The sequence below is a fragment of the Homo sapiens genome, chromosome 2, assembly GCF_000001405.40.
Source record: "Homo sapiens chromosome 2, GRCh38.p14 Primary Assembly".
Lineage (NCBI taxonomy): Eukaryota > Metazoa > Chordata > Mammalia > Primates > Hominidae > Homo > Homo sapiens.
In genome coordinates, this window is record NC_000002.12 from 207,770,272 (window position 1) to 207,784,171 (window position 13,900).

Genomic DNA, 13,900 nt, shown 5'->3' on the forward strand with positions numbered 1-13,900 from the left:
CTGCCCTTTCTGCCTGCAGCTAAGCGTCCTTACAGAGTTCAGTGCTTCTTTGAAAGAACTGCTCAAGGAATCACTCTTAGGCGTGGCTGTCTCCCTTCCGAGCTGTCTTGGAACTGTGTGAAAGAAGAGAGGATACTTACTGAGCCCTTTACTGTGTGCCCAACAAAGTGTTAATCGGTTACATCCTTTTTTTTTTTTTTTTTTTTTGAGACGAGTTGTTCTGTCTCCCAGGCTGGAGTGCAGTGGCGCGATCTCGGCTCACTGCAACCTCTGTCTCCCGGGTTCAAGCGATTATCCTGCCTCAGCCTCCTGCGTAGCTGGGATTACTGGCGCCCGCCACCACGCCCAGCTAATTTTTGTATTTTTGGTAGAGACGGGCTTTCACCATGTAAGGCTGTTCTCGAACTCCTGACACCGTGATCTGCCCGCCTCGGCCTCCCAAAATGCTGGGATTACAGGTGTGAGCCACCGCGCCCGGCCCGTTTACATCTTAAGACAAGATCTCACTCCTTACAACAATTCTGAGGCAGGTACTTCCTACAGGTGAAGAAACCGAGACTGAGACTTGGCCAAGGCAACCGAGCTAATCATAGTTCCCCCAAGAAAGGGCGACCTCGGCAAGCAAGTTCACCTCCGTATTCCGATCACCTGGCACATAGTAGCCGCCCAAATGGCAACCCTGGGATTCGAACCCAGGTAGTTGGTCAGCGGCACTCACCATCGTAGCCGCCCCTCCCCCCATACTATCGCAGCCTCCCTGGCTTCGACCTTTACTTTTGCATCTCTTAACAAAATCTTGTTGTGACAAGAAAATGGATTTCTTTCTGCCTTTAGAAGACCCAGAAAGATGTGAGTCCTTTATTGGTCGAGGTTTATAATCCCAGGCAGTTCCGAAGTCGCCCGCAGAGAGAAGCGATACCGACCCAGGGTTCTGTGCTGGGCAGGGCGCCGGCCTCCCCGTGCCCTTCCGTCCCCGGCTGCCTGCTGCTAAGCCGCGCACTTGCGCGCCGCGGGGGGTCGGAGGGCGCACCGATGGCGGGGACACGGCGGCGCTCTTCAGTTGCGCAATTATGCTACAAGTTTTAAATGTCCTAAAAATGCCTCTTTTCTATGTGTTGTAATTAGATTGGAAGACTGAGGTATTTAGCATACTTGAAATACATTCACACGCCTAGGAAGAGGGTTTAAATTTTTTCCTTCTCCCCAAACTTTTCCTTCCACTGGGCAAAGGGCGAAAATAGGCAAGAGGGCCTGGGGACACTTGAAGGGATAGGGACTGGACTAACTGGACTAGATCCAGATCAACCGCGGGTTACTGTCCATCTCCTGTGCTGGATCCCATTGGCACAGGTTGGAAGAATAAATTGCGGAAGTGCCACTCCCCTCCTGCGTATCAACAACGCTTTGTGGGCAATAATGAAGAACACGTGTGTTAATCCCAGCCTCCAAGTTAAAAAGGAACAAATATCAATCACTTCGCGGATATCAAAACTATTAATAAACGTTTAAAAGGCCGGGCGCCATAGCTCACGCCTGTAATCCTAACACTTTGGGAGGCTGAGGTGGGAGGATGGCTTGAACCCAGGAGTTTGCAGACCAGCCTGAGCAACATAGCAAGACCCCCAACTCTAAAATACATAATTAAATAAATGAATAAATATACCTTACATCTTTCTTTCTCTGGAATTCTACAGGTGTTCATATTTTATCTCTTGTGTTTTGGAATTACTTGCCACTCTGGGTCAGGAAGCATCCCAGGGTTGAAAATAGTGGGAGTTGAAAAGCTGTGGGCATAGCAGTGAGCAAGAAAGGGAAGCCCTCAGTGGAAAGTATGTGCAGACTATGAACATGCCAAGGGAGGCCCATCTCATTCTGTGCTCTTTATGCAACGTGTGTATTACTGGGGATGGACAAGTGTTGGCTAATAATAAAAATTATTTGAAGTTGGAGAATGTTAATCACTCACACTGGAATTTAGCCAGAATATTTGTGTTATTTCACACGGTTCTGTCAGAGGCATTTGAACCAGAGCGACTCCATCTTGGATAGGGACTGGGTAAAATAAGGCTGAGACCTACTGGGCTGCATTCCCAGGAGGTGAAGACATTCTAAGTCAACAGGGTGAGATAGGAGGTCAGCACAAGATACAGGCCATAAAGACCTTGCTGATAAAACAGGGCGCAGTAAAGAAGCCGGCAAAAACCCAGCAAAACCAAGATGGCCAGGAGAGTGACCTCTGGTCGTCCTCACTGCTTATTGTAACTTAATTATAATACATTAGCATGCTAAAAGACACTCCCACCAATGCCAAAGCAGTTTACATTTTACAGATGCCATGGCAACCGTCAGGAAGTTACCCTGTATGGTCTAAGAGGGGGAGGAACCCTCAGTTCCGGGAATTGCCCGCCCCTTTCCCGGAAACTCATGAATAATCCACCCTTTGTTTAGCATATGATCAAGAAATAACCATAAAAATGGGCAACCGGCGGCCCATGCCGCTGCTCTGTCTATGGAGTAGCCATTCTTTATTCCTTTCCTTCTTTTTTTTTTTTTTTTTTTTTTTTTTTGACAGTCTTGCTCTGACGCCCAGGCTGGAGTGCAGTGGGGGTGCAAGCTCGTCTCACTGCAACCTCTGCCTCCTAGGTTCAAGCAATTCTTGTGCCTCAGCCTCCCAGGAAGCTGGGATTACAGGCCTACGCCACAACACCCTGCTATTTTTTGCATTTTTAGTAGAGTCGGGGTTTCGCCATGTTCACCAGGCTGGTCTGGAACTCCTGGCCTCAAGTGATCCGCCCGCCTCGGTCGGACTCTCAAGGTGCTGGATTACAAGCATGAACCACCTCGCTCGGCCCTTTCTTACCAAACTTGCTTTCACTTTACTCTATGGATTCGCCCGGAATTCTTTCTTGCATGAGATCCAAAAACCCTCTCTTGGGGTCTGAATCAGGACCCTTTTCCAGTAAAGGTTCTGAAGAAAACAATGTTATCTACTGGTTTGTAAACCTTTTCTTCATCAACAGCAAAATCTTAATTTTACTTGGAGATCTCTAATAATAATAGTGATAGCAGAGAACTTTATGGAAAGAAACTTATTTCAGCTGGGCAAGGTGGCTCATGCCAGTAATTTCAACGCTTTGGGAAGCTGAGGCAGGAAGATCACTAGGGCCCAGGAGTTCAAGACGAGCCTTGGCAATATAGTGAGACCTCATCTCTAAAAAAAAAAAAAAAAAAAAAAAAAAGGAGAGAGCAAGACATTTTATATCGTATATGTTTTTGTATTGTATTGTGTTGCTTTTTGTCTATATTTTGAAGGCACTTTAAAATATGCTGGCTGTTTAACATGTATTAGGCAGGGTGCTAGACGTCGTTTAATCCTCAGATGAAGAAACTGGTGCTATAATGACTTTGATGACTTGCTTGAAGTTATTTATTTAGTCTATGGAGTCAAAAACTTTCACACACCGTGATGATGACAGTTCAGTAACAACATACTGTAAATGAAAATTGCTAAGAGAGTAGATTTTAAGTGTTCTCACCACACAAAAATAATGAAAAATATGTAGAGGTAATGCATATGTTAATTAGCTCAATTTACCCATTCTAGAATGTATACATATGTCAGAACATCATGTGGTACATCATAAATATATACAATTGTTATTTGTCAATTAAAAAATAAAATATCTCACAATTTTCACCTGAGTCATACTTTATTACCCAACAAACTAGAAAACACTGAATTTTTTTTTTTTTTTTTTGGTTGGGGGGACAGGGTCGTGCTCTGTCACCCAGGCTAGAATGCAGTGGCACGATCTTGGCTCACTGCAACCTCTGCCTCCTTGGCTCAAGTGATCCACCTCAGCCTTCTGAGTAGCTGGGACTACAGGCATGCATCACCATGCTCAGCTAATTTTTTAAAAACTTTTTGTAGAGACCAGGTCTCACTATGTTGCTGAAGCTGGTCTTGAACTCCTGGACTCAGGCAATCCTCCCACCTCAGCTTCCAGAAGTGCTAGGATTACATGTGTGAGCCACTGTGCCTGGCCAAATTTTTTTAAAGATGCAATGTTTAAGCATTTAGAACATTGTTAAGCATCCTTGTCTATTTATTCACTCATGTATCTGTCCATCTATCGATTAATCCATCCATTCGCCAAATGTCAAATTTCTGAGTTGAAGACACTACTGCCATACAAAACATAATTTGATGAAGCCAAACTCATGAAATTCAACTGGAATTATTGTCCAAATTGTGTTTATTAATTGATGAAAATACAAAGGATAATGCTAAATATTCCATCTAATAGGCGTGTGACATTCCATAAGTTTTGAAGTATTGGTTTTGGATTTTTGCCATCAGGGAACAGTTACATCATTTTAAAACTTTCTAGATTTGGCTGGGCACAATGGCTCATGCTTGTAATCCTAGCCCTTTGGGAGGCTGAGGCGGGCAGATTGCCTGAGCTCAGGAGTTCGAGACCAGCCTGGGCAACGTGGTGAAACTCTGTCTCTACTAAAATACAAAAAAGTAGCCAGGCATGGTGGCGGGCGCCTGTAGTACCAGCTACTCAGGAGGCTGAAGCAGGAGAATTTCTTGAACCCAGGAGGCAGAGGTTGCAGTGAGCCAAGATTGCGCCACTGCACTCCAGCCTGGGCGACAGAGCAAGATTCTGTCTTCAAAAAAAAAAAAAAACTTTCTACATTTATGTTGTTTATACATGCATTATTTTGTTGAGATTCTTGAGAGTTCAATGCTGTAGGAATGAATGAACAGGTATCCTTTGTATGTATACTATTCAATATCTTGATAATCAAGCCTGGAATATTATGTTACATCTAGACACCTTCAATAAATATTTGTGAAATAAATAAATGAGTGAATGACAACTGATACTAACTTTTTCAATTTTAGCAACTGGCATTCAGTCCTTGAATTCAGATGAACTCTCCCTCTGAGGTTGACCAGGTCCTGTTAAATGAAGCCTAAGTCCAAATTTTGGCTCTGCCTTTACAAGCTAGGCAACCTCGGGCAAGTCACCTAACAGCTCCAGGCCCCCTTACTTCTCTGTAAAATAGAGTTAGAAATAGTTATCTACCTCCCAGAGCTATAGTGAGGAGTAAGTATATTTATATGGTAAAGAGCTTAGAACCATGTCTAGCCCCTGAGTCTCTATAGGTCTTGGCTATTATTATTAGTTTCTTCTAAGGTTCATTCTGTTTTTCCAGTTTTCTGTATTTTCTTTTGTATATTACTTTAACAAGGGAAAAAATAACTATTTTTTTCCAGGTGTACTTTATTTCTGAGAACACTGCAGGCTCTCACCAGCTATCTCTGGCACTTAGATATTGGTAAATTTAGTGCCAAAGCAGGGATCGTGTCACTTGCCCAGGATCAAAGTGCACACTCCTGATTATCAGTAACCATGTATGTGCACACTTGCTGGCTCAGGATAGAGGCCACCAGCCAACCCAAGTTCCTCACAGGTATTTCCAGACTAGCTCCCAACATGTCCTACAGCATCTCTGATCACTGCTCTTCCCATCGTATCAGATACCTCGAGACACAAACCAGAGGATTAAAACAATGAGCCATTTTTCCTGGGTTCATAATGAGAGTATCTTTTGTAAGTGGAATAATTCAACAGTAATCTTCAGTCCTCTCTTCTCCTACAATGTGGTGGAGATTATAGAAGAGTAAAAGCAGCTTTCTTTTTCTCCTCGGGGTAATGGAAGTACTGGGCTAATCTTTGCCACGCTGATCAGTGGCCCTCAGCTGCGCATTGCAATCACCGGGGAGCTTTTAGAAATACTGAAGCTTGGGCCCTGTTTAATCGGAGTCTCTGGTTGAGGGACAGGAAATGTGTTTTGGTTTATTTGTTTGTTTTGGTGGTGGTTTTGTTTTTAAGTCTTAACCCTGTTTTTGGCTAGGGTGGAGAACCACTGGCATAGATGGTTTTGGTGTTTCCTCAGTACAGCCCCAGACTTGGGCCTAGCTGAGTCTTTTGCAAGGAGGGTTATTCACATCAGTGTGTAAAATGGAACACTGGGAATAGGTATAAAGAACTGCATTCTAGGCTAATCGCATCCGAGTCTGTTTAGGCTGAAGGAAAAATTATATAAAGCAACAGAATTGTGATGAAGTGACAACAATGATGACCATTACAAGAGCTACTGATAAGTATGGAGCACTTCATAAGTACATGCACTGTACTAAGCATTTGACATTTTATGCATACCTTTTTATGCCTAAGAATCCTGTAAGATTGATTTTATCATTCCCATGTTATAGATGAAAAATCATGGCTGGGTGAGTGGCTCATGCCTGTAATCCCAGCACTTTAGGAGGCTGAGGTGGGAGGGTCTCTTGAGCTCAAGAGTTCGAGACCAGCCTGGGCAACATAGGGAGACTTCCAGCTCTACAAAAAAAAAGGTTTTATTTTTATATTAGTGGGGCGTGGTGGCAGGCACCTGTGGTTCCAGCTGCTCAGGAGGCTGAGATGGGAGGATCGCTTGAGCCCCAGAGGTTGAGGCTGCAGTGAGCCATGGTCACACCACTGCACTGCACTCCAGCCTGGGCGACAGAGTGAGACCCTGTCTCGAAAACAAACAAAAACCTGAGGTTCAAACAAGCTGAGTGACTTGCTGAAGCTTGCACACCTTCCAACTTGGAGGGTTTCCCTGGCCTCAAAGCCGATGCTCTCATTCACTGCAGCCTTCACTGCAGCCTAGCAGCAACCATTCATCAAGTACAGGGCCCTAAGAACAACCAGATGGTAAATCTTGAGATAAGCAATTTTTCTTGCTCCTTAGCACCTTTTTCCTGGGACCAGGTCAACTCTCCAATTCTGGTGTGGCCTCTTGTGGCGGGGTGGTTCAAGCGTGGAAAAGTCGAGGACCTGGGATTCATCTTGAATCCAGTAAGCGTCCAGAGGCAACATGTTCTTTGGGCTTTGCAGAGCAAGCAGGAGGTGGAGTGCCCCTTAAGCTAGATTATAGAACCTCCCAGTATCTTGGCAGAGGGAGCTTCAGTTCATTAAACACTGACTCTGCACCTGCTGTGAGCCAAGCACTGGTGCCAGGGTCACAAGATGAAAAGGCAGGAACTTACAATGTGGGGCATAGTGGGAGCTCACACGAGGCACTTAGCACAACCTGGTGGTTCAGGGAAGACCCAGGCTGGCCTATGGGTTAGACGGTCCATCAGGGTTTAGTATAGGAAGTAGAAACCTCTGTAGGTATTTATTTTTTTGTTGTTTGTTTTTGTTTTTTTGAGACAGGGTCTTGCTCTGTCACCCAGGCTGGAGTGCAGTGGTGCAATCAAGGCTCACTGCAGCCTTGACCCCCTGGGCTCAAGCGATCCTCCCACCTCAGCCTCCTAGGTAGTTGGGACTATAGGCCTGTGTCACCATGCCCAGCTGATTTTTGATTTTTTGTATAGATGGGGTTTTGCCACATTGCTCAGGCTGGTCTCAAACTCCTAGGCTCAAGCTGTCAGCCTGCCTTGGCCTCCCAAAGTGCTGGGATTACAGGCATGAGCCACTACGCCTGGCCTCTCTAGGTATTTCAAGCAAAGAAAAATTTAATACTGAGAATCAAGCAGACATTACACAATTTTCGAGAGGGCTGGAGGGATACATGCCAGGGGGGTACCCCTGGAGTATTGAGTTCAAGGGCCCACCACAGTAGCCATGCTCCAGAAATCAGGATGGTGGTGGTGCTGCTGCAACTGCCTGTGACAAGGCAACTGCCACACGAAGCTGGCGACCAGATGGTCAGAAGGGACTCTGAGTCCAGCAGCATTCAGTGCCTTCACCCTGCTTGCTTTACGCAGCCGCTACCGCAGCAACAGTGGAATAGTAGCTTCTGCTTTGCCCGCCAAATCTCACACGAGAACTTATTTCAGATCCACACCGGAGCTGTAAGGGAGTCTGGGAAATGTAATTTTTTTTTAAAGATGGGGTCTCTCTATGTTGCCCAGGCTGAGTCTTGAACTGGGCTCAAGTAAGCCTCTTGCTTCAGCTTCCTGAGTAGCTGAAACTCTAGGCACGCACTGCCACACCTGGCTCTTGGAAATGTAGTTTCGAGGTTTCCAGTCTCTCCAACTAGACTACTAGAAGGATAGAAAGGAGGCCAGGAGAGTGAAGCCTCAGTGTCTACTATGTGTGCAAAAAGAAAGTGAGAAGGACTTCCTGGATGGAGGAATCAGCCCAGGCAAAGGGCATAGAGCCAGGAGTGAGGCTGGCACAAGTGGTGAACAGCTGGGGATTACCAGGTTATCAAGAAGTAGCAGAAGCAACTGAGTCAAGGTTTGTACCTGAAAGTCAAACTTGTACCTGATTAGTCACTCATGTCTAATCAAAGTATTCTTTTTGTCTTTTTTTTCCCCCTTTTTGTGGAGAAGAGGGTCTCACTACATTGCCCAGGCAGGTCTCAAATTTCTGGGCTCAAGCTGTCCTCCCAACCTCTGCCTCCCTGAGTGCTGGGATTACAGGGTGTAAGCCACCACGTCCGGCCAAAGTATTTTTTAATGAGTTAAATTCATATACACACTCTACCTAAAACACTTATTTATTGATACAGTGTTTGATTTATCCAACTCATTACTAATGCAAAAGGACAGAGGAAAGGAGCAAAGAGCACAAGAGAGAAAAAACAAGAGTGTTGGGTGATACCCACAAAGAAAACAGAGCCTTAACCTTCCCCAGGCTTCATGCTACAAACACTGTTGATTACTGCCCGAGTCATCTCTCCTTTCAGTTTCCTAACAGAACCCCAGTTGGTTTTTTTGTGTTTTGATTTGTAGGCATCTACCCTTCTTTTCACCGCCATGTGCTTCAGTGGAGGCAGGAACTCCAGTCCAAGCCCAAAGACATAATACACAGTTGGTCCAGTTGACCATGTTGCTCCCTCCTGCCCCTCTTTTTTTTCCATTTCTTTTTCTTTTTCTTTTTCTTTTTTTGAGACGGAGTCTCGCTCTGTCCCCAGGCTGGAGTGCAGTGGCATGACCTCAGCTCACTGCAAGCTCCGCCTCCCGGGTTCACACCATTCTCCCGCCTCAGCCTCCTGAGTAGCTGGGACTACAGGCCACCACGCCAGGCTAATTTTTTGTATTTTTAGTAGAGACAGGGTTTCACCGTGTTAGCCAGAATGGTCTCGATCTCCTGATCTCGTGATCCACCTGCCTCAGCCTCCCAAAGTGCTGGGATTACAGGCGTGAGCCACCATGCCCGGCCTTTTTTTTTTTTTTTTTTTTTTCCATTTTTTCTTTTTCTTTTTTTCTTTGCGACGGGGTCTCAATCTGTCTCTCAGGCTGGAGTGCAGTGGCACGACCACGGCTCACTGTAGCCTCAACCTCCCAGGCTCAAGCAATCCTCCCACCCCAGCCTCCTGAGTAGATGGAACTACAGGCATGCGCCACCACGCCCGGCTAATGTTTGTTTTCTTTGTAGAGACGGGGTCATCCCAGGCCAGGTGTCAGGCACATGACTAAAGAAGCTCCCTGATGATTCTACCCCCAGCCTCAAGCCACTCCCTGTCGTTCAAGTCTTCCCATCTGAGGCCCCAGATAGCATGGGGCAGAGACTAGCCATCCCCACTGTGCCCTCTCCCGCTTCCTGATTTGCAGCATCCGTGAGCATAATTAAATGGCTCTTGTTTTACACCACTAATTTGGAGTGGTTTGTTACACAGTAGTGGTAACTGGAATGCCCAAATACCCCCAAACCCACCGTCCCTTGACATCTTAGATAATCAGGTAGACAACTTTTTTCTTTTTGCCTGACCCAGTTGGTGATCAACTTATACACTGAAGCTTGAGAACTTTCATCCGCTGTACTTTTATCCTATTGAGCCTCACTGTTGATGATATGCATGTGAAATGTCTAATCCTTTAAAACACAAATCTTCACCATTGATCTTAATATCCTGCTGCAGTGAGTTCCCCAGGTCAATTGTGTGTAGTGGGGGAAAAAAGTACCTTCTTTTATCCATTTAAACATGCTTCCTTTTTATCTCATCTTGTCCTCTTGTTCTTCCCCAAGTAAAGCGATTTCCATTCTGTGGGTACCTACACACAGAGACCTAAGTTGAGACAATAATTTTCCTTTGAGCTGGTCACCCAGAAGGCCTCGTGCGCACCGGGACATGGAGCAGTGGATTTTAGTTGGTGACTTAAAGGTGGTGGAACACTCCATTCTAATTAGTCACAGATTTAGTTCCAAGCTTTAAAAAAAAAATAGTCTCTGCAAGAGACTAATTCTGCAAGAGGCAGGCCAGGCATGGTGGCTCATGCCTGTAATCTCAGCATTTTGGGAGGCCAAGGCGGATGGATCACCTGAGGTCGGGAGTTCGAGACCAGGGAACTTCTTTTGAGACAGGGTCTCACTCTGTCACCCAGGCTGGAGTGCAGTGGCGCATTCTCTGCTCACTGACACCTCCACTTCTCAGGTTTAAGCAATTCTCCTGCCTCAGCCTCCTAAGTAGCTAGGATTACAGGTGCCTGCCACCACACCCAGCTAATTTCTGGTACTATGTTCACTCTCTGCATGATGGGATAATTCATACACCAAACCTCAGTGACACACAATTTACCCATGTAACAAACCTGCACACATACCCCACGAACCTAAAAGTTTTTTTAAAAACCCCAAAGCCCACACACCAACATATTTAAAATACAACAACTTTTCTCAGATTCACCTCTTAGTGAAAGAAAATCTGCCATCCTGAGGGTTGCCAAAATCATATTTGCAGATGGCAATAAAAGATTTATGGAGTGCTTTCTATGTACCAAGCCCCTAGCTAAATGCTTCATGCATTATCTCATTCAATCCTCACAACACCCAGTAATAATAGGTTATTTTATTTTCCCGATTTTACAGATGAGGAAACCTAGGCATAAAGAGATTGAGTAGCTCGCCTAGGGCCACTCAGTGTGTAATTGGCAATGCTTCACTTGCAGGGATTCCTCTTGCTGTAACTCTATTGTGGTTTTATTTTAAATATCTGTGCCATCTTACCTCTGCTATTAAATACTTGGGCAAAGATTAATGCCACATCGATTTCATTCTTTCGATATACAGTGTAATGAGCGGGGATAATGGTGGGAAAAATCACAGTCACCTATGTATGCTGGAATGGATCTTGATGATCCTGTGGTTTTTACCTCCTCATTTTACAGATGAAGAAATGGGTCAAAGAAGATTTTGGATAAACTTAAACTGAATGAGAGAAAATTAGAGAGTCCAAATACTCCTGGGGAAACTCCAGGTAACGCTTCCCTGGGCAAGTAGGGGCTTTGACTTATCTGTTCTCGCCCTCAGATGTGCAAGTCTGCAGCCTTTGTAAATATAACTTTGTGGCCAGTAATGTTACTACTATTATTTGGTTTAACATTCGTCACAAGTGAATATTATTATTTATAGAATTGTAAGTCTCTGTATAGTGAGCTTATAATCTAAACCAGAGAGAGAGCTGATGATCACAGTTATCTGAGTTGAAAAGTGGGTTCTCTCAGGTTTCTCTGAATGTGTTCAGTCTGTTTGGATTTCATGTCATATGTGACTGGCCTCCTAGCATATTTATTCTGGCAGTGAAAGGGGTAGGGTGTGTGAAAGAAATCTCTTGGAGAAGTTTTCACTGAAAACTTGGTGTTACACATCTAAGTCTCTTCTTGAGCCCTTCCAGGAAGGAAAACAAATCTCAGAAAATGTGAGGCTTGTTGCTTGTCCATATTTCTCCTCTAAGATGATTTCAGAGTTTCTCAGAATTGTTAAAAAATGTTTTCTTCTGTTTTAGATCTCTCTCCCACCCCTCATATCCGCAGGTTTATATCTACTCTTCCAGTTACCCACAACCCTTATCCTGCTTTGTTCAGTCTTTCCTAGACTTTTTGGTATTAAACTCCCTTTGAGACAAAGTGTCTGGACTGTTGCTCACTAATTTTTTTTTCAGAGCAATTTTCTCAATATAAATTACACTCTCAATTACTTTTATCTTCCTAGAGCAGTGAATCACATTCTAAAAAGCCATTAGGGTGGGGGCAGCTGGATGCAGAGCTGAGAGGTTCGAGCCAGTGCCAGCTTGTCAACCTCACTCTTTGTTTACCCTGCTGCAGCAGGCCAAAGTGCAACCTTTGTGCTGAAGTCACCAGCCAAAGAAGTACCTTCAGTGCCCATTTCTGCTACACTTGTGTGCTTGGGGTACCTATGTGATGGGGAGGCCATGTTTTAGAGAATGGGCTTGTGCTTGGAGGCAAGAAAAAAAAATAGCTGAATGCAGGATGGCTTGATATTTGAAGGCTGTGGGAGTTCGCTTTAGCGCCTCCACTCTTCATCCCTCCTGATATCCATACCCTCTGCCATGGGACTTTGCAGTTCCTTCCATCAAGAGATGGGTATATTCCCTACACGTCGATTCTGACCATGACAGCTGCTTTGGCCAATAGGATGTTACAGATGTGACACAAGCAGAGACTTGAAAATGTTCTTGTGTGATTGGACTCGCTCCCTCGCCTCTCTGCTATTTCCATGAGAAGAGTAGGCCAGGGTGCCAGGGCTAGCCCGCTGGTCCCAGCAGGAGGATGAGAGATATGTCGGGCAGAGCTGCTCCAAGGAAGCTGCCCCAGGCTCAGCTCTGCCTGGAACAGAGCAGCCCAGCTGACCCAGAGGTACATAAGCAAACCCAGCCAGGATTTGCAGGTCTGCGTAGCAAGGCTTCCAATGAACAGCAGATGCAGGAGCTGGAGTAGGAAGTGATTGTTGTTTTAAGTCTCTCAATTTTTAGGTGGTTTGCTATCCAGCAATAGCAATGAGGTCATGCTCTCTGAGACTTACGATGATTACCTGAGCAACTAGAAACAAAAGCACTTTGCAAATGTACAGCCATGGGAACTTGGAGAGTGGACTGAACAGGCTCTGGAGTCTGAAAACCTGAGTTACAATTCACCCTCACTCTCAGCTCACTCTAGACTTGGGCAAATAATTTCACTTTCCTGGGTCTTACTATAAAGTTACAGAGCTGACTTGCGGATTCAAAACATAAGAGCTTCAGAGGATGCCAAAAAATTAATATGAGTCCTAGAACTTCATTGGCAGAGGTGAGGAAGGGATGAGGAAGGTAGGAGGGAGTTTAGAGGGAATTTTGAGTATAAAATATTATAGCCTGTAGTCCCAGCTACTTGGGGGGCTGAGGTGGGAGAATTGCCTGAGCTCAGGAGGCTGAGGCTGCAGGGAGCCAAGATCGTGCCACTGCACTGCAGCCTGAGTGACAAAGTGAGACCCTGTCTCAAAAATAAATAAAATAAAATACTATACTCAAATAAAAGGGGCAGATCTGTTGAGTCGTGAATTGAAGAATTTTGAAGAAAATGTTTGATTAAAGCTGAAAGGTAGTCTTGAAGCCCAGATATAAAATAGTCTCACTTCCCCAGAGATCAAAGACATTGCCCTGAAAGTGTGGGCTACATGAATGAGTACGAGAGAGAAGAGTGACCCTGAAAATGGCTTCTAGAAGGCACCTTCCTGACAGCTCTTCCCTTCCCATGGAATAAAGCAAAGCTGGGGACAGTGATGAAGTGTTTGGTCAGGTGGGGAGATAATAGGCCCAACTAGCAGTCAGATGCCTGTCTGAGCTCCCTCCTTAGTTACCTTTAGCTTGTCTTGGTCACTCAATATCTGACCTTGGACGAATCACCTATCTTATGGACAAGTGGATGAAATAGGATTCATTTATTCATTCCATTCTGATTACATGATCCCCTCCAGAAACTATTCCGGACTCTGGGGATGAGATGGTGAACACGTGGTTCCTGAGCTGGCTACCAACTCAGGCTAGACAGACTTCTCACATATTGTCATTCATATCAAAATATATAATACTAGGCCAGGCGTGGTGGCTCACG

The 13,900-nt window shown here is 45.1% G+C and overlaps 4 annotated features.

Moving 5' to 3' along the window:
- Nucleotides 486-535: an enhancer, noted in NCBI's record as "active region_17045". NCBI's record gives its function as "activates an Ori minimal core promoter by ATAC-STARR-seq in GM12878 lymphoblastoid cells {active_cell/tissue: GM12878}" and the evidence as "EXISTENCE:reporter gene assay evidence [ECO:0000049][PMID:35858748]".
- Nucleotides 700-1,520: an enhancer, noted in NCBI's record as "H3K27ac-H3K4me1 hESC enhancer chr2:208635695-208636515 (GRCh37/hg19 assembly coordinates)". NCBI's record gives its function as "activates a minimal SCP1, AML or CMV promoter by ChIP-STARR-seq in naive H9 embryonic stem cells {active_cell/tissue: H9 hESC(naive)}" and the evidence as "EXISTENCE:reporter gene assay evidence [ECO:0000049][PMID:30033119]".
- Nucleotides 1,992-2,467: a silencer, noted in NCBI's record as "fragment chr2:208636987-208637462 (GRCh37/hg19 assembly coordinates)". NCBI's record gives its function as "represses an EF-1alpha promoter that drives an FKBP-Casp9 reporter gene in an ReSE screen in HepG2 liver carcinoma cells {active_cell/tissue: HepG2}" and the evidence as "EXISTENCE:reporter gene assay evidence [ECO:0000049][PMID:32094911]".
- Nucleotides 12,709-13,209: an enhancer, noted in NCBI's record as "H3K4me1 hESC enhancer chr2:208647704-208648204 (GRCh37/hg19 assembly coordinates)". NCBI's record gives its function as "activates a minimal SCP1, AML or CMV promoter by ChIP-STARR-seq in naive H9 embryonic stem cells {active_cell/tissue: H9 hESC(naive)}" and the evidence as "EXISTENCE:reporter gene assay evidence [ECO:0000049][PMID:30033119]".